The sequence below is a fragment of the Homo sapiens genome, chromosome 1 (assembly GCF_000001405.40).
Source record: "Homo sapiens chromosome 1, GRCh38.p14 Primary Assembly".
NCBI classification, from domain to species: domain Eukaryota; kingdom Metazoa; phylum Chordata; class Mammalia; order Primates; family Hominidae; genus Homo; species Homo sapiens.
The window spans coordinates 196,672,445-196,697,525 of NC_000001.11; the positions used below are offsets into that span (position 1 = coordinate 196,672,445).

Sequence of the window (25,081 nt, forward strand, 5' to 3'; positions counted from 1 at the left end):
GCCTGTATAATTCTGTATTAACTTATCATGCTAATTTTTGTAAATATAATTTTTCTACCTGTAATGCATATTATACATCTCTTTGATTACTTAATAACTGGCTTCCCTAATAGAATGGAAATGCTTTGAGAACAGATAGTTTGTTTCTTCATTGTTTTTTCTTTATAACTTAGAATAGTGCTCAATAAATATTTCCCAAATTAATGGAAGAATAGTAGAATGCTCTCCAGCAATTAAGAGTAATATAACAAAATATATCTATTGCTTTGCAAAGTTTTTTAGGTGTTTTTCCACAGTGAACATTCTTATAAAATTATGTAGATACAAATTTTATAAGGTGAAATGTATAGTTACACTACATGCATGAAATGTATGTTTACTCCATAGATATGGGGTTAGGAGAGAGAGAGAGAGAGAGAGAAATTTAGATAGACCTGTGACTGTCTAGGCATTTTTAAAAGCAACAATTACCTAAATATACTGTACATTTAAATAGACACTTTATGCACTTATTTTGTTTTTATTGTTTGTAGATTGCAATGAACTTCCTCCAAGAAGAAATACAGAAATTCTGACAGGTTCCTGGTCTGACCAAACATATCCAGAAGGCACCCAGGCTATCTATAAATGCCGCCCTGGATATAGATCTCTTGGAAATGTAATAATGGTATGCAGGAAGGGAGAATGGGTTGCTCTTAATCCATTAAGGAAATGTCAGAGTAAGTACTTAATACATTTGTGAAATTTATGAAAACTAGGTGTAAAAATACTTAAGATTTAATATTGTAGCAATTATGCCTGAATTATATCACTATTGCCAGTCAAATACAAAATAATACATAATCTTTTTTTTTTGTTTTGAGATGGAGTCTGGCTCTGTCACCTAGGCTGCAGTGCAGTGGCGCAATTTTGAGATGGAGTCTCCCTCTATCGCCTGGCTGGAGTGCAGTGGCGCTATTTCGGCTCACTGCAACCTCTGCCTCCCTGGTTCAAGCAATTCTCCTGCCTCAACTTCCCGAGTAGCTGGGACTATAGGCACGTGCCACCACGCCCGGCTAATTTTTGTATTTTTAGTAGAGATGGGGTTTCACCAATGCTGGGCAGGCTGGTCTCGAACTCCTGGCCTCGTGATCCACCCACCTCAGCCTCCCAAAGTGCTGGGATTACAGGCGTGAGCCACCGTGCCCAGCCAATACATCATCATTTTCAAAAAGGGGTGGTCATCCTCCAAAATTAAAAAAGCAAGCATATAGTTTAAGTTCAATTATGAAATAATGGCTTTGCTATGTTTAATTTTCCTTACATTCAATCTGTCTTCTTATATAATATCAAATATACTTGTTCCCCCACTCCTACATAAAATATATTCCTTGCTATTACATACTAATTCATAACTTTTTTTTTCGTTTTAGAAAGGCCCTGTGGACATCCTGGAGATACTCCTTTTGGTACTTTTACCCTTACAGGAGGAAATGTGTTTGAATATGGTGTAAAAGCTGTGTATACATGTAATGAGGGGTATGTAGTCCATACGAAAAGAGGTTTATAATTAAGATAGTAAATAGGAACTCTACTACTTTATATATTTTTAAGGTTATTATATTTTTCTATGAGCATTTAAAAAAGTAATACACAAGTACCTGAAAGTTTAACTATGATGGAAATAATTAAATCTGGATACCATATTATCTCCTTAACATTGAAAAATTTAAATGAAGTATAACTTCTCTGATAGAGTATAATTATGGGAGAGTGGGAAAACAGTATGCACATATATAAGTATTCACCCAACAAGTCTTCACGACATTCTATTTTGTGCAGAGTATCATGGGAGTTCAATGTGTCAGGAACAATAGGAATTGTAACCAATTTATATTGTATGGTAACTGTTTTGACAGGTTTTATAAAATTTAAGGAAAGCAAGACTTTCACCTGCTTATAAGTTTTACTTACAACTAAGGTTACTTAATGTCCCAGGTCTGCAAATTATTCTTACCACATGGATTAAAAATACTACTCTTTCAGAATCATTGACTCTGTTCCTTCTAACCAACTACTGGGTTTTCATTGCCAAAATCATCACTGTATATCCTCAGTGTTATTTTATCCCCCTTATTCTCTGCTAGATGAAAAATTATTTTGGAGAAAAATTTATGTATGGGAAAACCAGGATTAGATCACTATAATCGTATACTTCATAAATATAAATGTAACCAAATATTACAAATGGAATAACATTATTATTTCCCCATTTTTTCCTTAATTTGAAGCAATAAAATATAATAGTTTAAAGCTTAGTCACTGGAGTAAGCCTGCCTTTCAAAACTCTACCACTTAACATTTATGGGTATTTAAAAATATATCTCTTCACTACCATTTCCTCTCCTACAAAACAGACACATTTTATGTGCATCATGGATTGGCAGGAAAAATAAATAAGACACACATCTGCAGCCCTTAGAAGAGACCTTGAGATATAGTAGATACCAAATAAGTATAATTTCTTATGAATTTATTCTCTCCTTAGTCACTACCTGAGGGAGGTTTTTCAAATACATTTTTAGCCCTTCAATCATTACTGCTGATCTTATCACACATAACCAAATAGGTTATAATATCCTGGGGCTGAATTTTTTAATTTGCTACCTTCCTCACCTCTGAAATATTTCTTTTATCACAGGCTTGTGTCCTCTCTTTAAGTTCAGCACTTGACTTGGCTAAGGAGATAAAAATGTATAGATCTGAAGCCTCTAGCAATGATTGCACATTTTGCACATGTCCCAGGGAACTCATATTCAAGTAGAGCATTTTTTAGATTCAAAGGGCAGGCTTGATGGGTTACTAAAATTACTTAAGTTCAACATTAGATGGCTTGGATGAGCAGATTTGACTCACTGGGTATTCTCAGGAAAAAATCTCTACGATAGAGATGGAGAGATGGAGGCAAGTGCTGAAAGTAAATCACACACTAACAACTTTTGGCTGGCACTATCTTTATTATGTAGAAACCCTAAGGTGTTCAGAAAATATCAGAATCATGGAGGACAGAAATACGGTCTAAGACTGGAGGAGAGGGAAACATAAGGTTAGTCGTTGGTTACTATGGTATTTTTAGCTTTTGTTTTGGTGATAGTTCATGGAGCTTACTATATTATTGAATTTAGCTAATTAGATAATTCAATGAAAAATAAGAATACTTTGTATGAAACAATAATGATTTTGTCGTGAACCAAGGATTATGATTATTTTCAGTCCATGCACCAAGAAGGAGAGAAAGATAAAGGGAGAGAGAGGTTAAGAGATTTTTCATCTATGAAAATTAGAGGAAGAAGATTAATGTTCTAGAGAACGTTAAGAAATCTAAGACAGAGTGAAGGAGGAGGAGAAGGAGGAAGGAAAAACAAACAAGAAACAAGAAACAAGAAAATGCATATGCTGTTCATTTTCCTTAATATGGAGTTTCTGGACACTCAGAATGGCATCGAGTTTAAAACTGCATGTAAACACACATTATGTCAACGTTCTGTTATTTTTTGGTTTTCAGGTATCAATTGCTAGGTGAGATTAATTACCGTGAATGTGACACAGATGGATGGACCAATGATATTCCTATATGTGAAGGTAGACATAAAATGTATTTACAAGTATATTGAAATAAATATCTAAGATTTAAAAAAAGTCTTACATTAAAATATCTTAAAGTCTCTATTAAATATTTTTATTTAATGTTTTTTTTTCTCATACAATGTAGAGTGGGAATCTAGTCTTTTTATTACTACATTCTTGGTGTTTCAAAAGCCAAAAACGAATGCAGCCTGATCTGATATAATAATTGAAGTATTAGACATTAAGGAATCTAAAACTGATTTTTATTTCCTTTTGGATTCTAATGACTAGAAACGCATATAAGCATCATTAGCTAAATAAAGACCAGAATTTTGCCTTTATTAATGAAGAAGAACTCACCCAGTAACCACCCAAATGCAGGGATCTATGGTAACAGCTGAAGTGGAGAACGTGATTGAGACCTCCCACTAAGGGAGGTTGCCTGTGGACTTACCTTTACTGAAAAGAGGAATAAACTAAGGGCGAGCTCTGTTATTTCTCACTGGTCTGTAAAGCAAACAGTGAAAATGAGAAAATGTAGATTCTGTTTTCATGTTTTGAGCTAATAATCCAAATCTCTAGTCATTATGGAAATAAAAGAAATCAACCAGAGTAGTATTTCCTAATTCCACAGTGAGTGGCAAGTGGAGAGAGATACAGAAGAAACGTGATAATCATTCAAAAACTGTCAACTACAGAAAATAATGGAAGATTTTTTCATCTATGAAAATTGGAGGAAGAAGATTAATGGTCTAGGGAACATCTACATTGAAATCACCTGGGATGCTTGTTAAAAACTAAAATCTTTGGTTACTAAAAAATGACCTACTGAATCAGTATCTTTGGGGTGAGCATGCAGGAAGATAGCCCTAAAATTTTTATTTTAACAAGCATCCTGAGTCATTCTATAGTACAATAAAGTTTGACCACAACTTTAGAGAAATTGGAAAATATTAAGTAGAATCAAAAGAACTACTCAAATTATTTTAAACACTTAGGTCGAAGAGGATGGAAAATTAACGATGATTTCTCTATTGAAGTTAATGTCATAAAGTTTGCTTTTACATCTTTTAGGAACACAGTGTTATATTATTCTAGGGCATAAATGAAAATGTATTTAATTATCTCAAGCTTTATATTTCTTAATTATTTAAAAATACTAGTTTGTTACTACAAAAATACAAGCTAGCATTGAAAGTAGTAATTTTCATTGTCCACTCCCATAGAAAAGAATCAGGAATAAACATTCCATTTGCTTGTTTCTTAGAGGAAAGTATCTCTAGCAAACAGGTATATCAAATGCTTCTAAAAATAATTTAAGTAATTTCCTCCAATCTTATCCTGAGGATGATTTTATACATACACATATTTTTCACAATAAACTTTTAAAATTCCATTAGAAAACATTACATGTATTTTCTTCAGTTGTGAAGTGTTTACCAGTGACAGCACCAGAGAATGGAAAAATTGTCAGTAGTGCAATGGAACCAGATCGGGAATACCATTTTGGACAAGCAGTACGGTTTGTATGTAACTCAGGCTACAAGATTGAAGGAGATGAAGAAATGCATTGTTCAGACGATGGTTTTTGGAGTAAAGAGAAACCAAAGTGTGTGGGTAAGATACACTTACTGTTTTAGTATTTTTAGCTTTTTAAATGTAAATATACATTTAAAACATCGTTCATTCTAAGGAATATCAGCAATATTAACAATAGCTAATGTTTATTGAGCACTTACTATCTGCCTGTAATTGAGCTAAGTTCTTTGCATGCATCATTTCATTTTAACTTTCAAAAAACTCCATGATTTACTTACTCATCACTTTCATTTTATAATGGAAGAGACTGGTGCAAAGAAGTTAAATCACATGCCCTGGATTATCATGGCATAAAGAGTCAAGTTAGGATTTAAATGTAGGTTATCTGACACCAGAGTCCATGCTTTAACCATAACTCCATTGTAGTTGTCTCTTAGGTTGAAAGAGAATGCTAAGTATTTCTGCTGCAAGCTGTAAGACCTCTGGAATAGACATTTGTTTTTATTTTGAAAGCCAAAGATTCATTATGTATTTCCAGAGATACATTAGAATGACATTCGTTTTTGAATAACACTTTTAGGAAGCAGACCTATTTTATATTTGTACTGCAAGTTTACTATAAATGTTGCTGAATTGAACAGAATCCACTAAATAAATTGTTGCCTCTTAAAAAAAGTTTTATAGTAAACTGTAAGCCAGGATTTTTTTAGTCATAATACTGCCAACCTGTGCATCATGACCAATCAAAGATTTTGGCTTCTGTGATAAACATCGTGGTTGATTTGTTTAGTAGTACCATAGTTCAAGTTCATTTTACCAATAATTGTTTGGCAGAAGTTTCTGGCATATTTATATTTTAATATTATCTAAAATATCTAAATTATTTTTACTATTAAAGTCTGTTATATCTTAGATACAGATAAAAGAATTTCTCTTCTTAAGAACACTTTGTAACAACAATAGTTCTTTATGTTAAATCTAATATTTTTATTCAGCATAGCAAATATTATGTACTTTAGAAGTACATGGATGGAATTTACATCCTTACAACTAGATTCCTGTGGTTAGTGAAAACTTCCTGGAATGGCTGATGCCTACGATTAAGTCTTAAAGAAAAAAAACGAGATTTTGTAGATGAAAATGAGAGCAAAAGCATACCAGAGTTCAGGGAAAGGGAAGTGGAAGGGCAGTGAGGCTTTAAGGAGCATGAAGCACCACTGATTCTTGTCCATTGTTCCTAGGCACCTTAGTCTAGGATGCAAGTAGGGAACGAGTCAGTGATAAATAGAAGGTGGGCCAATACATAGTGCTGAGGTGCTGCATGCACCATGCTGAAGAACGCGTCTTTTATTCAGATTGATTTGGGAATCAATGAAGGATTTCAAGTGGAGTTACGATGTGTCTACCTGAGAGGTCATTAAGCTATACACAAGGAAAATGGATTAGAAAGTGGGAGAACAGAGTTTGGGAAACTACTTATGATTGGCACAATCCCAGGTAAAAATGTTTGAGAGAAGTGGGTATAAAAGGTATAAAAGATGATGGCCATTTTTTTTTTTTCTGAGGAAATCTTGGCTAAATAGTGATGACACAAAAACAGGTCAGTTACTTTTCAGAGATGTAATGACAATGAGTTAAATCAATGTCTTTGACAAAAAGTCCTGTTGATAATTCCTGTCTTATCAATAACTAGAAGATGTGTTATTTTTTGCAGGTCATTCAGTGAAAACATCACAATAAAACTATATTTATGATCAATTTTATTTATACAGTTGATGAATGTTACTGGTCACTATTTATTTCAAGAAGGCTAATTTATCCTGAAACTAAATAAAATCAGAAGCATAATTTTAATCAGAATTTTAACTTTCTTCAGATAAATCATTTATTAAGCGGTCAAGTCAAAACAGAACTTTTGTTTGGTTGACTGATTTACCTGATGGAAACAACATTTCTGTTTTCATATAATTATGTCCTGGTCACAGTCCTTTAATTTGCAATAAACATTTTGGAATTTAATCCCTTTTATTTAGAAATTTCATGCAAATCCCCAGATGTTATAAATGGATCTCCTATATCTCAGAAGATTATTTATAAGGAGAATGAACGATTTCAATATAAATGTAACATGGGTTATGAATACAGTGAAAGAGGAGATGCTGTATGCACTGAATCTGGATGGCGTCCGTTGCCTTCATGTGAAGGTAATGTTACCTTTATTTTCTGGATCTTTATAAATTTATCACATATTTTAATTAATTCTTTTAATAAATCCACTTATTTTAATCAAAAGTAGAGTGCTAATTTATGTAAATAAACTATTATAAAAAACATATAGCATTTTCTGTGTTCAAGGTTCATTTTGAGTACACTTCGTACGATACACACACTCTGAAAACAGACATAAACAGGGCCAGAAAAGTTCAGTAGCTTATTAAGTCATTGGTCTATCATCAAAAACCATGTCTGGATCAGAGTGAGGACTATAATAGACTTCCTAATTCTCAGTAACATACAATTCTCAAACAAGTAGATTGCTCCACTAATGCCCAGAATTTATTTAAATTATATGAATATTTTAAAATACTTTAAAAGTAACTTGTATTAATACCAGGTGAGGAAACTCTCAACTGACAATGGAATTAAGTTGAAGGAAGTGAATATTTTTGTTAACAACAGGCCCAGTATGACTCAACGGTGATGATGGTCCTGGAAAATTACCAAAAAAAAAAAAAAAAACCTCTCAACTTTCATTATGGAGGGATGTTACACAGAGCCAAAGAGTTCATCTCAACTGTGCTCTTTGCCCACCAAAAAATATATCTGGAATAGAGTGTTCTACTTAACCTACTTCATTTTAAACGGGAAAGTTTCAAACTATCATGGCCAAGAAGAGAGAATATGGACAGTTGTGGACTTTTAAGAAATTATGCCATAAGACGTACAGTAAGAAGCTACAGCTATAGTGTGGTGATAACAGTTTTGAGATATTTTCAAACATTTATAAAATAAGTGGGTTTGCTTTTGATGAGGTCTGCTGCAATTAGTGAAACAAGGAACAGTGTTACCACATATGGTCCAGAAATCTAAAAGGGTGATACTGCCATACTGTGAGAGAAAGAAGAGTTGAACTCTTAAGAGCCCTCTGAACTTTAAATCCCATGATTCATAAATACATGTTTAAACTGTGCTTTAGTAATCCTCTTTTACAAAAGAATAGTTAATTTTGGGTTAATTTTATACACTAAAAAAATTTTGGTTTGAGCCCACAAGTGTCTCCTTGGAAAACATATTTTTCTTCACAATTGCGTGATCTCTACTTTTAGGCACTGTTAAGAGAATATTTTAGAAAGAAATTAATGAACATGAGACAGTAATAACCCACATCAGATCCATGTTTGGCTAATGGTGTGTGGGGTCCAACTATTTGTCTTCATGGCATTCGTAGTTCCTAAGCAAAGGAAGTGCATGCACAAGTCCTTTGGCATTAACTTCTACCTGAAGTATATTATTTCCAGAGCCCCTCTCAAATCTATAGTGAATTTATCCATGCAGTAATCAAAATGTAACTTATAAACCACTTATTTTACATCAGGACCTTGCTGTGTATTGAAGATAAACATTGCAATAAACCATCATTCCAGCTTTCAATGAATTCAAAATAAGACTCTGGGAATTTAGTTTTATTTGAATATGTGACTCTGTAGCATTACTACCTCATTGTAGTCATCTGATTTTTTCGTCTCTTTTACTTCTTCACTTTGATACCTACTTAAAACTCTTCCTTAGCACATATTTGTTTTCACAATGAGAGATCCATCTGTTTTTCCCAAATGTATTACTGCATTTCTATTCTTGCTTCTCTTGAACACTAATTGATTCACACACACACACACACACACACACACCCCTCAAAGACTCTACATTTATAAAACATTTTTCTTTTATAATTTTTTTCCATTTCTCAGTCACAAGTACAAGTAAAACCTGAATATTCAATACTATGCTTGCAGGTCCTGCTTTCTTTAGGAAAAGAGATACCAAGAGAAGGCACTGGGATTGGGTACTCCTTTTCAGAAGACAGTTCACTAATAATCGATATAAATAAAGGAGGATTTATCCCAAATTAGTTAAGCATACACTCTCTCACCACGTTTTATTTTATTGAAATATACTTTACGCTGATTAGATATAGAGAAGTCTTTCTTAATAAAAGAATTCCACTCTTTGTATGCCAACTAATATAGCATAAATATGACTATTTTCTTGGTACAAAGCAAGGATCTACTTGCTGATATAAGATGAATTCAAAATCTATACACATCATTTTCTCTGAAATCAGGTAACTTCAAACTCTCTTTGTTGCTTCTAAATCTATAAGAAGTTTGGAATTAAATAATAAGATAATATTAAAGTGAAATAATCTACTTAAATTTTAAATACTTTAATTTTCTTCAATCTGGTCTATGGCACACACATGTCAGAGGACTGATTTAAAGGTGAATTGTCAAAACTTTGGTCTCTGTGTCCAATAGGGACAATCTGTAACAGAAAGTTATTTATAGAAACAATCAAAGGTACGAAGAACTGCTAAAGGAAAGCTATCTTTGATCCGAATCTATCTCTTCCCTGTACAGATTGGATTTTCTATTGGTTCAAAGCATAGAGTGCTAACCTTGAATTAGTATTCTAACTTCAAATGACCAATGGTTGTTTCCAATAGTAGGAAAATATGGATAGTCTCAAGTATTGTTTTGGATAAAGGTACAGGTTCGGGCAATGTTTTAATAACATGATGTATTTTTAAAAAGATTATGAGTGTAGGAAATTAAGGTTTATCACAGGATTTATGTCTACTGCTTGAGCATAATCACCAGAAGTCTTTCTATTCTTAATTAACAAAATTGTTCCATATTATTTTATTGATTTCTTAGTTAAACTCTTGTTTTTTGCATCTCATAGCTTTTGACTTCAAAAATTGGTATTAAATTGAGCTATATCATAAGGAAAAATAATTGAAGATACATAAACTGAACTTTAATGGGTATATGAAAATATGATAGAGAAGAATGAAGTGACAGAAAAAAAGAAAAAAGGAATACATTTAGGACTTATTTGAAGTTAGTGTCAACATCAAACACTGAAGACATATTTTTACATAAAATAGTAAAATTTTAAAATAGTAAAGCTTTAAAACTTGTATATTAAGTCACATACATATTGTTTCTCATATAATTATTGCTAATCTAAATATATTATCCTGTTAGCTATAGAGATATATTAAAGCTTATTCTGTCAGAACGAAGTATAAACTTAGGAGCTGAATGGACACAGTGGAAGTATGGTATTGAGAAGAGGAAATATATAATGAATAATTAAAACTTTATAAAATTTTATGTTTGACTAATATACAACTTATGAGAAAGGAATGGTGGTAGTATAGAGAAGAAGTAGAAAAATGGCAGGAGATGAGATGTGACAAGTATGCAGGGCCCAAAAATTAAAAAATTAAGTAAAGTACAAGAGGAGAAGCAAAAAATATAAAGTAAAGGAAAATAATAAGATATAAAAGAAAAGCATCACTTAGACAAAGACAAGGAGAAGCAGGAGAACATAAATATATAAGGTAATGGAGAACACCAAAAAGTATGTAATCAACAGAGTCAAATATTACAGAGTTTTATCTGTTCAGTTCAATAAATAATTAAGAAGTCCATAATATGTACCAGTGACTGGAATATGTGAAATGCAAAGCATTTCTGAATTTGGACATTGGGCTCATTGGTAGCTTTTATCAGAGCAATGGCAACAAAATAGAGGTCAGAAACTAGGTAGTAGTGAGTTAAAGAATAAATGTGAGACGGGAAAGTGGAGACAGCAATTATAAAATGGTATTTTAAGGATTTTGGTTTTGAAGGGGAGGAGAAATGTAGTACATTAGCTAAACTTGAACAAAGGGTTGAGTGAAGGGACTGAAAATTGGAAAAGCTTCCATATCAATTTAAGAGTGTGGTTGATAAGGTAAGAAAGAGGGAAGGAATAAACAATGGTTTAAAATACAGGGGAAAATGAAAGAATTAAAGCTAACCTGAATTTGAAAGCAACACTTTACCACTGAAGACTAAACTAAAGACTTAAATCAGTATAGATACAGATAATGTTGAGGAGTGCTGGAAAGAAGTATAGGAAACTCACTACTGCTGGTCTCAATTGTTTTGTGTGAATGGAGACTTATTATCTGTTGATGAAGAGGCAATTGTTTCAGGTGGCTTGAGAAAAGAGAGGAGACTATGGATCATTTACCATGGGAAATCAAATAGTAAATAAATTGGGGGTATATAAATGGATTTCAAGCAATGCTGAATGTTTGCCACAGCTTTTTAGTCCAAAATAAAATATGACTCCAATAGAAGTGGTCATATAGTTTTTCTACAATACTTAAAATGCATAGTATTTTATCTTAAAACGAATTTTGCAAATGGATCCAATATTGAGATATAGCAGAGTTAATGGAAAGGAGTGAGAAGGTGCCTTATAGATTAAGATACACTGGGCCAAAGGATGGCAAACTATAGGCTGCAGGTAAAATACAACTTGCCCCCTTTGTGTAAACAAAGTTTTATTGAAACACAGCCAAGTTCATTTGTTTATGTATTGTTTTTCATTACTTTTGTACTATAATGGCAGAGTTGAGTTGTTGCAGCAGAGACATTTTATCTGGCCCTTTACGGAAAAGGTTTTCCAAACCCTCTGCTATTTTATCCTATTATAGTAAGAAAAATGTAATGCAGTATCTCAATGTTTAAGATATTAAGACTGAAGTTTATTTTCATTCATGTTCACTGTCAATGTAGATCAGAAGGGACTTTACTCATTGTATTAATTGTAAGAATCAAGTGACAGAAACATCATTTTTTTTCATGTCCTTCTTTAATCGCGGTATCTTTGGGAAAGAGAACATAAAAATTCACACAATGGCTTTTAAAACTTCTCTCTAAAGTGGAAGATATTACTTCCACTTTTATTATAGTCTCCTACGCAATCACATGGCCACAGTTACTTCAAAGAGGAAGGGTTGCGCAGTCCTATCAATTGTCCAGAAGAAAGAAACACTGAATATTTGTAAACAATCCTTATGAGAACCACAGAAACCAAAGAATAGAAGGAAAGTGAAAGTAAGAATTGAAGTTATATGTGATGAGAACATTGCCAGTTATGGAAAATCATGAAGTATGGGATGACTTTGGAGAAGAAGGGATTAAGAGCCCAGGAGGTACAAATATGTCAGATGAGAATATAGTGAAGGGAAAAATAAGTGATATACCAGAAAGGATACTATGATATGTTCATTTTAATGCCATTTTGTATTATGCTAAGGACAAATAAATAACACCCACTTTTAAATGTTTATATAAATGATTAATTTTAACGGATACTTATTTCTGCATTATCCATATATCCTTTTTCTTTTCAGAAAAATCATGTGATAATCCTTATATTCCAAATGGTGACTACTCACCTTTAAGGATTAAACACAGAACTGGAGATGAAATCACGTACCAGTGTAGAAATGGTTTTTATCCTGCAACCCGGGGAAATACAGCAAAATGCACAAGTACTGGCTGGATACCTGCTCCGAGATGTACCTGTAAGTTCCATTCATATCTTGACCCATTTCTTAATTCTGAAATTTCTTTTAAACACATAAAAAATAGGGACTCAATAAAACCAAATATTTGTCTTATTGTATATACAAAGTAAGGCTGTTGGAAGCATTCTTTAGTTTTCGAAGTTGCCGAAACTCATATTTTTTGCTACTCAAAATTAAATGTGTATGTGTGTTTATGAATGTATGTTTCCCTAATTAATAAATTATTCCAATATCTGAATTAAAACACTAGATAAAAATAATGTCATCTAACACATACTATATTAGTTATTTATTGCATTGTAACAAAATACCCCAAAAACATATTTACTTAAAACAACTAACCTTTATTATCTTACAGTTTCTATCGGTCAGTAATCTCAAAATGGCTTATATAAGTAGTTGTGAATCAGACTGTCTTCTTGTGTTGCAATCAGGATCATGGCCCAGGCTACAGTGATCAGAAGGCTTGGCTGGGAAGGAGGATCTGCTTCTAACATTACTGACACACATGGCTGTTGTCAGGAGGCCTCAGGTCCTTACCACATAGGCCTTTCCATGAGTTGATAAATGGCAGCTTTCTCCAGCACTGCTAATCTGAGAATAGAGGAAGCCACAATACCATGTATTAGTGTGTTCTCACACTACTAGAAAGAACTACCTGAGACTGGATAATTTATGAAGAAAAGAGGTTAAATTGACTCACAGTTCCACAGCCTGTACAGGAAGCATGGCTGGGAGGCCTTAGGAAACTTACAATCATGGTGGAAGGTGAAGGGGAGGCAAGCACATCTTACCATGGCAGAGCAGGAGAGACAGAGAGCAAAGGGGAAAGTGCTACACACTTTTAAACAACCAGGTCTCATGAGAACTCACTCACTATCATGAAAACAGCAAGGGGGAGATCCACCTCTATGATCCAATCACCTCCCTCAACATTGGGAATTACAATTCAACATGAGATGTGTGTGGGGACACAGAGCCAAACCATATCAATTATCTACTCACACACTGTTAACTTCAGCCATATCTATTCTTTCGAAGTGAGACACTAAGTCCAGCATATATCCAAGGGGAGAGAAATTAGGCACCACTATTTGGAGGGAGGAGTGTTGAAGGACTCCAAGTCTTAGTCATTTCCTAGTGTTGGAGGTAATTTCCAAAAATCATCACATGTAGCAAAATACCACTCAAGTCAATAGAGTATTTTATTTCTGGGATGCTCCTTTACCCCTTTTTAATGTTTTTTCTATCTCTACAATCAAATTTCTTTTCTTTCTATCTATAAGTACATAGACAAGAAGTACTACACTTAAACTATATATTCCATGAAAGAAAAATATGATACAAATGATTGATTAATGACTTCAACTTTAATTCCTGGCATAATTCCAATCCCTAAGAGAGGAAGCTATTATCAGTATGAAACATTTCAGTGTGCATAAGAATTATGAGGAAAATATTTAATGATTTTATGGTTGGCTTATGACAATGTAGTTCAGCCCAAATGTATCTAAACCAACTGAGACCCAACTATATTTGGATTTCAATTATTAATGTTTGACAATGAACCATCTGGAGTTCTCATGGACAAGATAGAGGAGTTGATGAGTTATATGGTTTATCAGTTTTTAATTTCATTAAATAACCATATCTAATTATCAGACGCATGACTTTATTCTCAGGCCTGCTTCATTACTCACTTGTGTCATTGAACAGTTTAATGATTTAGGGGAAGTGCAGTACAAATTCACAATTGGAATGATACAGAGGATGATAATAAGGAATCTGCATTAGGGCAGTTCAGCATTCAAAGAGACTCTTATGTGCTAAGCTGAATCTAATAAGATGAAATTTAACAATGTTGACTCTAAGATCCTGGACTTGGGTCAAATAAATTACAGTATGAATATATTAGCAGCAGTTATAAAAATTAGTGAATATTTTTATCAATTTTAAGATCTGTTTGAGCCAACTTTATGATGGAAACACCATAAATGCTGTGAAACCAAAAACTACATTTGTAGAAGTGTAACAAGTAGAATGAAGCTATTTGAAGTCCTTCTATTCTCAGCGCTGATGAGACTCTCTGTGGGTACTAATATTTGCTTCAAGGAATCAATTTGTAAAAGGGATAAAAACAGATGTAAATGTGACCAAATTAGAGAATAGCTAAATAGCTCGAGCCTGTGGTAATGTTATATGTTTTTAATTATGCCTCCTTTTTATTCCTTTTGGAAAGAAATCTCGGTGGACAATTTTATTTTATGACCTTCTGGGAAATACCATAATAAGATGGATACTCATACTTGCTTTGAAATCAACCACAAGCTTTGAAATCTCTACTCTACCATTTAATGTGAAATTCAATTGAGGCCTTTAAGGCACAGCTCCCACAAATCCAAGACTCAAGCTTTCCCAATGCAGAATTATTGTTAAATAATACATGTCTCAACAAATCATGATGAAATTTGTAAAATCCAATGGTAAATAGAAAATATTCCAAATCTTTAAAAAGTGGTGAGGAAAAATGTAGAATGTTACTTAAAAGAAATAAGACTAAGTAAATGTTTTAATTTCAACACTGGGAGCTTCAGATAAATAGGGAAAAAAATCTATCAATTATAAGATATATGGATTGTAGGCCAAGAAACTATACTGAAAGAAGTATCATTCACTAGTCTTTATTAGAGAAATACATTTAAGATATACAATTATTCAGTTTATAATCCACATAATAAATGTAGAAACTACATGAAAATTTCTCTAATCAAATACAAAAGAAAATAAATCACAGAATTTAAGAAAGATGGAGATGTAAAAGAATATTTATATGTGTGTGTGTGTATGTGTGTATTGAAATTCTTTTTAACCTATTGCATAAGGTTTATTGAAATAGAAACATATTTCATGGAAAACATTAATACCATTTTGTTATTGAAAGTACTAGATAATCTACAAATAATCCCATGAAAAGAGCAAATTTTCTGAAAAATATATAAACCTGTTAATATAATAAACAAGATAGCACTCAAATGTATTTGTCAAAATTAATATATAATAACTCAGTAAAATGTAATTATATTGTACCTTACTTAAATATATTTTATGACATCAAAATTATTTTTCTCTCCAATTAAAATTAGAAATAAACAAAAAAGTTAATCAAAATCTTAACTATTTGGATATGAAGAAATATTTCTAGTCTGTTTCTCTGGTTAAATACAGACTGGAGAACTTGGCTTAATGAATTGTTTGAGGCATGAATTAACTATGTTATTTTTCTGCGCGGTATCATCAAAGAAAAATTTTTGTGTTTCTCTATATTTTTACGTTGTCTGCAATAAATAGGAAAGAGCCTAATTTATTTATTTACTTATTTATATTTTTCGAGATGGAGTCTCACTCTGTAACCCATGCTGGAGTGCAAAGACACAATCTCAATTCACTGCAACCTCTGCCTCCTGGGTTCAAGCGATTCTCCTGCCTCTGCTTTCTAAGTAGCTGGAATTACAGGGGCGCACCACCAGGCCCGGCTAATTTTTTTTGTATTTTTAGTAGAGACGGAGTATCACCATGTTGGCCCAGCTGGTCTCGAACTCCTTACGAGTGATCTGCCTGTCTCAGCCTTCCAAAGTGCTGGGATTACAGGCGTGAGCCACTGCGCCCAGCCCATGAATTCAATCTAAAACAAATAAAAACCTTAAATCCCTCAAAATACTACTTCCTTACATTGAATTGTTCTGAGAAGAAAATGCAGGGCTCTTGTTTACTGATGAGAATAGAAAAAAAAGAAAGAAAGAAAGAAAGAAATACATGAGCTAAGCGGTAAAATTGGCATATTTCTCAACCGAAAAGCTTATTTAATTAACCAGGGATAGGGTATGTGTATTTAAGGGAAATATATTAAATAGGTCTGTGCATTTTTCTTTCTGGAGAGCCTTCATACAAATTTACGCATCATGTGATCCACAAGACATAATTTCATCTTCATTAACAAAGACCTTCTTGTTACATATCTCAGTCATCTGAGTTCTATCATTTGTTTTGACCTAGAAACCCTAATGGAATGTGTAATTATACTAAGAAGAGAATATAATTCAGTGATAAAAATTTATCTCTAATATGAGTGTTTATTACAGTAAAATTTCTTTATACTTTTTTTAAAATTTTTATTGCAAGTGAAACCTTGTGATTATCCAGACATTAAACATGGAGGTCTATATCATGAGAATATGCGTAGACCATACTTTCCAGTAGCTGTAGGAAAATATTACTCCTATTACTGTGATGAACATTTTGAGACTCCGTCAGGAAGTTACTGGGATCACATTCATTGCACACAAGATGGATGGTCGCCAGCAGTACCATGCCTCAGTAAGTAAACCTCTGAACTGCTATATATATGTATAAAACTTTCAAAGATCGAAGAAAGGAGAGCACATAAGTGATTACACCTGTCTTATGTAACAGAAATAGGGCCAAGAAAAGAGTTGTTCAAGCAAAGTGACCAAAATAGATCTTTTCTATTATGAGGGTTTCTTCTTGAAAATCACAGGAGAAATAAATATAGGGACTTTATGAGAATATCTATATAATTTATACATCTATTAATTATAAAAACTAAAGATAAGTAATATTGAATATTGATATTTCTTTTTGTGCAAACCTTTGTTAGTAACTTTAGTTCGTCTTCAGTTATACATTATTTTTGGATGTTTATGCAATCTTATTTAAATATTGTAAAAATAATTGTAATATACTATTTTGAGCAAATTTATGTTTCTCATTTACTTTATTTATTTATCATTGTTATGGTCCTTAGGAAAATGTTATTTTCCTTATTTGGAAAATGGATATAATCAAAATCATGGAAGAAAGTTTGTACAGGGTAAATCTATAGACGTTGCCTGCCATCCTGGCTACGCTCTTCCAAAAGCGCAGACCACAGTTACATGTATGGAGAATGGCTGGTCTCCTACTCCCAGATGCATCCGTGTCAGTAAGTACACTACTCTGAAATCCTAGCATGTTCATGTCTTTCTAAGTAACATAGATGACATTCTAAGACTCATCTATATTAATTGTGGCAAAATGTTTATGTCACCTTGTTTTACCAATGGACCTATTTAGTTTTTGGTTTTTCAACTGTGTATAAATGAATATACAAATTTCTTGATAAGTACATAGTAAAATAAATTCTCCTATTAATGGGCATTAGTCAAGAATACAGTAAAAGAATTTGAACACAATACTTGTTGGTTAAATGAAGTCGTATTGAAGCGGCATCATTGTCTGGGTAAATATCTGAGGTTCGTTATCTCACACCAAGAAGATTAAGGACGTGGACACACACAAGGAGTGAGTTTAGGAGCACAGGTTTAATAGGCAAAAGAAAGAGAAAGGAGAACAGCTTCCTCTCTTGTGAGAGAGAGCGGCACCTGAAAGTGAATCCCTGCCCCTGGTGGAGTGCACTGGATTTTATAAACGGTCTTGAGGAAGCAGTGTCTGATTTACATAGGGCCCAAAGATTGGTTAAACTAGGTGTGACATTTACATAATATGCCAGGAAGCTGGCCGCCCCACCCTAATCTTATTAATCAAATGGGATCTTTGCCTGGCCAGCGCCATGTTGCTTTCTCCTTACTGTACACGTGGCTGGCAAAGAGAAAGGAAGATGCACCTGCCATATGAACATGCCTAGTCCCAGGTAGCCTTTTCCTATTGGCACAACTGCTGGCATTCACCTTGCAAGCTTCCAGCTTGCTTGTCTATGTTTGCAGTTCGATTTTACAGGCTCCTCTTGTTAGAAAAGAAAATGATTTGGGGGCTGCCTTTCATTAAAAGGAAAAACCTTATCAAGGACTGCTGTACCCTCATTATCTGCCTAAACAATTTTTTCTCAACTCCTATATCAATATTAATATGTACATTGGAATCAATCATTTGACTCAAAATAATTATACAATTATAGTTTAAAATAGAAAGTAAATACGATGATACCCAATAATTCATATATTCAAGCAGTGATATGACATTTTTACAGTAAAGCTATTTGACTTTCTCTAGTATATGTAAGTACAAATGGGTATTCTGAGATCTTGTGCATATTCTACTCTAGAAGGTTTCCTACAGTATTTATTCCAACATACATTTATATCAACAGTTACTTCTTTTTTTACATGTTAATGATTGGTGATGTCACATTTTAATATTTACAAATTGAATGGCTATAAAATGTTATAACATTATAGTGTAAATTTGCATTTCTTTTACCACTAACTGGGTTTAGAATATATATTCACAGTTTAATTGGTATTTAATGCTTCTAATCTTTGGAAATGCAGTTTGATTTTCTTTATTTACCTTTTTGAGAGTTTTGGTATTATTAGTTGGAATCATCTTAACAATTCTGAATATAAAATCTCTTTTAATTATACGTAATGCAAATGTATTCTCTTTGTGGCTAGTATTTTTCTTTCCTTTTTTCTGCATTATGAACATAAGTTGCTCATTCTACTACATAATAGTCAATCTTTTTTCATGATGAATGTTTCTTGTTTCTATTTAAAGGAATACTTCAAAAACATAGAGCCACTATACTATTCTTTATTCTAAAAAGTTATAAGTTACCTTTTCTTTTCATATTTTAAAAATATTTTGTGTTGATTTTATTCATGATAATGGCTGTATTTCATGTTTAAATGAAATATGGTAAACTCAACATTTCCCTAACAATTTTTATAGTACCTTTCTCAAACAGTATATTTTTTATTGTATATTTTGTACATTGTGTGTGTATACACACACACAATAACTATTACTCTGAGTATTCTGCACTATTAGTAAACAATTTTTTAACCAGCATTGCAGTAACCCTCTATTGAATTTTATTTATTTATTTTATTTTGAGATAGAATCTCACTCTGTCACCCAGGCTGGAGTGCAATGTCGCGATCTCGCCTCGCTGCAACCTCCACTCCCTGAATTTTAATTAATATAGGTTTTTAATAAGTATGGATATGACTTTTCACCCTAATCATGACCTTTCACCCAAATCTTTTTGCTTCATCAGTCTCTTTTTTGTCTCATCATTCAGTGTCAGATGATCCCATTACTTTTATTTTTTTCTTCACAGATTAATTGAGGCTAATAATATGCCTTGATTAGATATGCAATTTCTCCTGATATCAAACAACTCAATCAACGTTTATGCCTCTTGGTTTGATTTTGGAGCTGATTGTAGAATCAACTACTTATTTTTTCTCTTTCTTTCCTTCCTTCCTTCCTTTTTCTTTCTTTCTTTTTCTTTTTCTTTCTTTCTTCTTTCTTTCTTTTTCTTTCTTTCTTTCCTTCTCTTCCTTCTTTCTTTTTCTTTCTTTCATTCTTTTTTCTTTCTTCCTTTCTTTGTCTACGTTTCTCCTTCTTTTTCTTTTTTCTCTTTCTTTCTTTCTCTTTCCCTTCCTTTCTTTTTCTTTCTTTCTTTCTTTCTCTTTCCCTTCCTTTCTTTTTCTTTCTTTCTTTCTTTCTTTCTTTCTTTCTTTCTTTCTTTCTTTCTTTCTTTCTTTCTTTCTTTCTTTCTTTCTCTTTCCTTCTTTCTTTCTTCCTTCCCTCCCTCCCTTCCCTCCCTCCCTCTGTCACCTCCCTCCCTCCCTCCCTCCCTCCCTTCCTTCCTTCCTTCCTTCCTTCCTTCCTTCTTTCCTTTTGTCCCAAGTTTGTCTGGCTCAAGTTATTCTTAAGAATGTTACTATTTTACTCTTCATGCTAGACCCTGTACTTTAGTCAGGTTATTTAGCTACTTTACGGTTGTCATATAATTAACAAGTCTTAGCTTCATCTTCAGATTGAGATATCAACGTTATATTTTCATGTACAGTCAATTGTCAGTGAATCACATTGTTTTTCAATTTAATAAAATCTAAATTCCTCATAACCATGTTGTGAGAATATGCAGAAAAAATTAAACATACTTGAGTGAGTACAGTAGATATATATTGGAGTGTATCCTTTATGAATGCAAACTGGCTGTAGTTTCCTTTAAAATAGTCATTTAAATAAAAAATTTGCCAGATAAATCACAGAATATCAATTTCTCTTGACTTGTAAAACTTGAATTACTAGTGCCATCTGAATGATTCTTCTGAAGATAGACAGAGTAGTCTCTACTTACCTGTGAGAGAAAAAAGCTGCACTAGTCCCTCTTATTCATGTGGGATATGTTCCAGGCTCCCCAGTAAATGCCCGAAATGATTAATAGTATAAAACCCAAGTAGACTATGTTTTTCCACCTGATAACTTGGAATACTACTAAGTGACTAACAGGCTGGTGCATACACTAGACGAAGGGAGGATTCATGCTCTGGGCGGGATGGAGCTGAATGGCATAGGATTTCATCAAAGACTACTAAGTGACTAACAGGCAGGTAGTATAAACTGTGGATGCACTAGACAAGAAAGTATTCAGGCTCTGGGGAGAATGGGGCTGAATGGCATAGGATTTCATCACACTACCCAGAACACCTTTTTTTATTGCTAAGTATTATTCCATTATATCATGTATCACGGTCTGTTAATCCATTCATGTGTTGAAGGGCATTTGCATTGTTTTTGGCATTTGTGAATCATGCTGTTAAGAAAAATATTCATCTGCAGTTTTTATATAAACACAAATTTATTCCTCATGGATACATATCTAAGACTGGGTTTGTTAGATAAATGGTGTGTGTGTGTGTGTGTGTGTGTGTGTGTGTGTGTTTTATTATTATTATACTTTAAGTTCTGGGATATATGTGCAGAACGTGCAGGTTTGTTACATAAGTATACGTGTGCCATGGTGGTTTGCTGCACCCATCAACCCGTCATCTAGGTTGTAAGCCTTGCATGAATTAGCTCTTTGTCCTGATGCTCTCTCTCCCCTTTCCCCGCACACCCCAACAAGCCCCGGTGTGTGATGTTCCCCTCCCTATGTCCATGTGTTCTCATTGATCAACTCTCACTTATGAGTGAGAATATGTGGTGTTTTGTTTTCTGTTCCTGTGTTAGTTTGCTGAAGATGATGGTTTCCAGCTTCGTCCATGTCCCTGCAAAGGACACGAACTCATTCAATTTATGGCTGCATAGTATTCCATGGTGTATATGTGCCACATTTTCTTTATCCAGTCTATCATTGATGGGCATTTGGGTTGGTTCCAAATCTTTGCTACTGCAAATGGTGCTGTGATAAACATATGTGTGCATGTGCCTTTATAGTAGAATGATTTATATTCCTTTGGGTATATACCCAGTAATGGGATTGCTGGGTCAAATGGTATCTCTGGTTCTTGATCTTTGAGGAGTTGCCACACTGTCTTCCACTATGGTTGAACTAATTTACACTCCCACCAACAGAGTAAAACTTTCCTATTTCTCCGCATCCTCGCCAGCACCTGTGGTTTCCAGATGTTTTAATGATCGGCATTCTAACTGGCGTGAATTGGTTTCTCATTGTGGTTTTGATTTGCATTTCTCTAATGACCAGTGACAATAAGCTTGTTTTCATGTATTTGCTGACTGCATAAATGTCTTCTTTTGAGAAGTGTCTGTTCATATCCTTCACCTACTTTTTGATGGGGTTGTTTGTTTCTTTCTTATAAATTTGTTTAAGTTCCTTGTAGATTCTTGATATTAGACCTCTGTCAGATGGATAGATTGCAAAAATTTTCTCCCATTCTGTAGATTGCCTATTCACTCTGATGATAGTTTCTTTTGCTGTGCAGAAGCTCTTTAGTTTAATTAGATCCCATTTGTCAATTTTGGCCTTTGTTGCCATTGCTTTTGGTGTTTTAGTCATGAAGTCTTTGCCCATGCCTATGTCCTGAATAACCTACTGCCTAGGTTTTTTTCTATGGTTTTTATGGTTTTAGGTCTTACATTTAAGCCTTTAATACATCATGAGTTAATTTTTATATTAGGTGTAAGGGAAGGGTCCAGTTTCAGTTTTCTGCATATGGCTAGCCAATTTTCCCTGCACCATTTATTCAATAGGGAATCTTTTCCCTATTGCTTGTTTTTGTCAGGTTTGTTGAAGATCAAATGGTTGTAGATGTGTGGTGTTATTTCTGAGGCCTCTGTTCTGCTCCATTGGCCTATATATCTGTTCTGGTACAAGTACCATGTTGTTTTGGTTACTGTAGTCTTGTAGTATAGTTTGAAATCAGGTAGCGTGATGCATCAGCTTTGTGCTTTTTGATTAGGATTGTCTTGGCTAGATGGGACCTTTTTTTGGTTTCATATGAAATTTAAAGCAGTTTTCTTAGTTCTGTGAAGAAAGATAATGATAGCTAGATGGGAATAGCATTGTATGTATCAACTACTTTGGGCAATATGGCCATTTTCATGATATTGATTCTTCCTATCCATGAGGATGGAATATTTTTCTATTTATTTTGGCCCTCTCTTATTTCCCTGAGCAGTGGTTTGTAGTTCTCCTTGAAGAGTTCCTTCGCATCCCTTGTAAGTTGTATTTCTACGTATTTTATTTTCTTTGTGGCAATTGTGAATGGGAGTTCACTCATGATTTGGCTTTCTGTCTATTACTGATGTATAGGAATGCTTGTGATTTTTGCATATTGATTTTGCATCCTGAGACTTTCCTGAAGTTACTTATCAGCTTAAGGAGTTTCTGGGTTGAGACAGTGGGGTTTTCTAAATATACCATCATGTCATCTGCAAAAAGAGACAATTTGACTTCCTCTCTTCCTATTTGAATACTCCTTATTTCTTTCTCTTGCCTGATTGTCTGGTCCAAAACTCCCAATACTATGTCCATCCTAGACAGATCAACGAGACAGAAAATTAACAAAGATATTCCCAATTTGAACTCAACTCTGGACCAACTGGACCTAATAGACATCTACAGAACTCTCCACCAGAAGTCAAGTGTTCTTCTTGGCACTACATAGCACTTATTCTAAGATCGACCATATAATTGGAAGTAAAACACTCCCCAGCAAACGCAAAAGAACAAAAACCACAACAAACAGTCTCTCAGACCACAGTGAAATCAAATTAGAAATCAGGATTAAGAAACTCATTCAAAACTACACAACTACATGGAAACTGAACAACCTGCTACTGAATGACTACTGAGTAAATATTGAAAGTAAGGCAGAAGTAAATAAGTTCCTTGAAACCAATGAGAAGACAGACACAATGTACCAGAATATCTGGGACACAGTTAAAGCAGTCTTTAGAGGAAAATTTATCGCACTAAATGCCCACATCAGAAAGTGGGAAAGATCTAAACTTGACACCCTAACACCTCAATTAAAAGAAATAGAGCTTGATGGGGATGGCATTGAATCTATAAATTACCTTTGGCAGCATGCCATCCCCATCAAGCTACCAATGACTTTCTTTACAGAATTGGAAAAAACTACTTTAAAGTTTATATGGAACCAAGAAAGAGCCCGCATTGCCAAGTCAATCCTAAGACAAAAGAACAAAGCTGGAGGCATCATGCTACCTGACTTCAAACTATACTACAAGCCCACAGTAACCAAAATAGCATGGTACTGGTACCAAAACAGAGATGCAGACCAATGGAACAGAACAGAGCCTTCAGAAATAATGCTACATATCCACAACCATCTGATCTTTGACAAACCTGAGAAAAACAAGAAATGGGAAAAGGATTCCTTATTTAATAAATGGTGCTGGGAAAACAGGCTAGCCATATGTAGAAAGCTGAAACTGGATCCCTTCGTTACACCTTATACTAAAATTAATTCAAGATGGATTAAAGACTTAAATGTTAGATCTAAAACCATAAAAACCCTAGAAGAAAACCTAGGCAATACCATTCAGGACATAGGCATGGGCAAGGACTTCATGTCTAAAATACCAAAAGCAATGGCAACACAAGCCAAAACTGACAAATGGGATCTAATTAAACTAAAGAGCTTCTGCACAGCAAAAGAAACTACCATCAGAGTGAACAGGCAACCTACAGAATGGGAGAAAATTTTTGCAATCTACTCATCTGACAAAGGGCTAATATCCAGAATCTACAATGAACTCAAACAAATTTACAAGAAAAAAACAAACAACCCCATCAAAAAGTGGGTGAAGGATATGAACAGACACTTCTCAAAAGAAGACATTTATGCAGCCAAAAGACACATGAAAAAATGCTCAGCATCACTGGTCATTAGAGAAATGCAAATCAAAACCACAATGAGATACCATCTCACACCAGTTAGAATGGCGATCATTAAAAAGTCAGGAAACAACAGGTGCCGGAGAGGATGT

At 33.8% G+C, this 25,081-nt stretch overlaps 1 protein-coding gene across 2 annotated transcripts in view, besides 1 other annotated feature; it reads left to right on the forward strand.

Moving 5' to 3' along the window:
* The window catches only part of CFH (complement factor H), a 95,462-nt gene that overhangs the window by 20,402 nt on the left and 49,979 nt on the right, over positions 1–25,081 (forward strand). For both annotated transcript variants that reach the window (NM_000186.4, NM_001014975.3), the window contains exons 2-9: positions 534–719; positions 1,413–1,518; positions 3,545–3,621; positions 5,032–5,223; positions 7,179–7,349; positions 12,620–12,793; positions 16,976–17,170; positions 17,619–17,795. In NM_000186.4, the coding sequence (NP_000177.2) occupies positions 534–719; positions 1,413–1,518; positions 3,545–3,621; positions 5,032–5,223; positions 7,179–7,349; positions 12,620–12,793; positions 16,976–17,170; positions 17,619–17,795 (1,278 nt within the window). The remainder of the gene's footprint in view (positions 1–533; positions 720–1,412; positions 1,519–3,544; positions 3,622–5,031; positions 5,224–7,178; positions 7,350–12,619; positions 12,794–16,975; positions 17,171–17,618; positions 17,796–25,081) is intronic.
* Positions 13,202–13,402: a silencer, noted in NCBI's record as "peak637 fragment used in MPRA reporter construct". NCBI's record gives its function as "represses an SCP1 promoter by STARR-seq MPRAs in K562 erythroleukemia cells {active_cell/tissue: K562}" and the evidence as "EXISTENCE:reporter gene assay evidence [ECO:0000049][PMID:32103011]".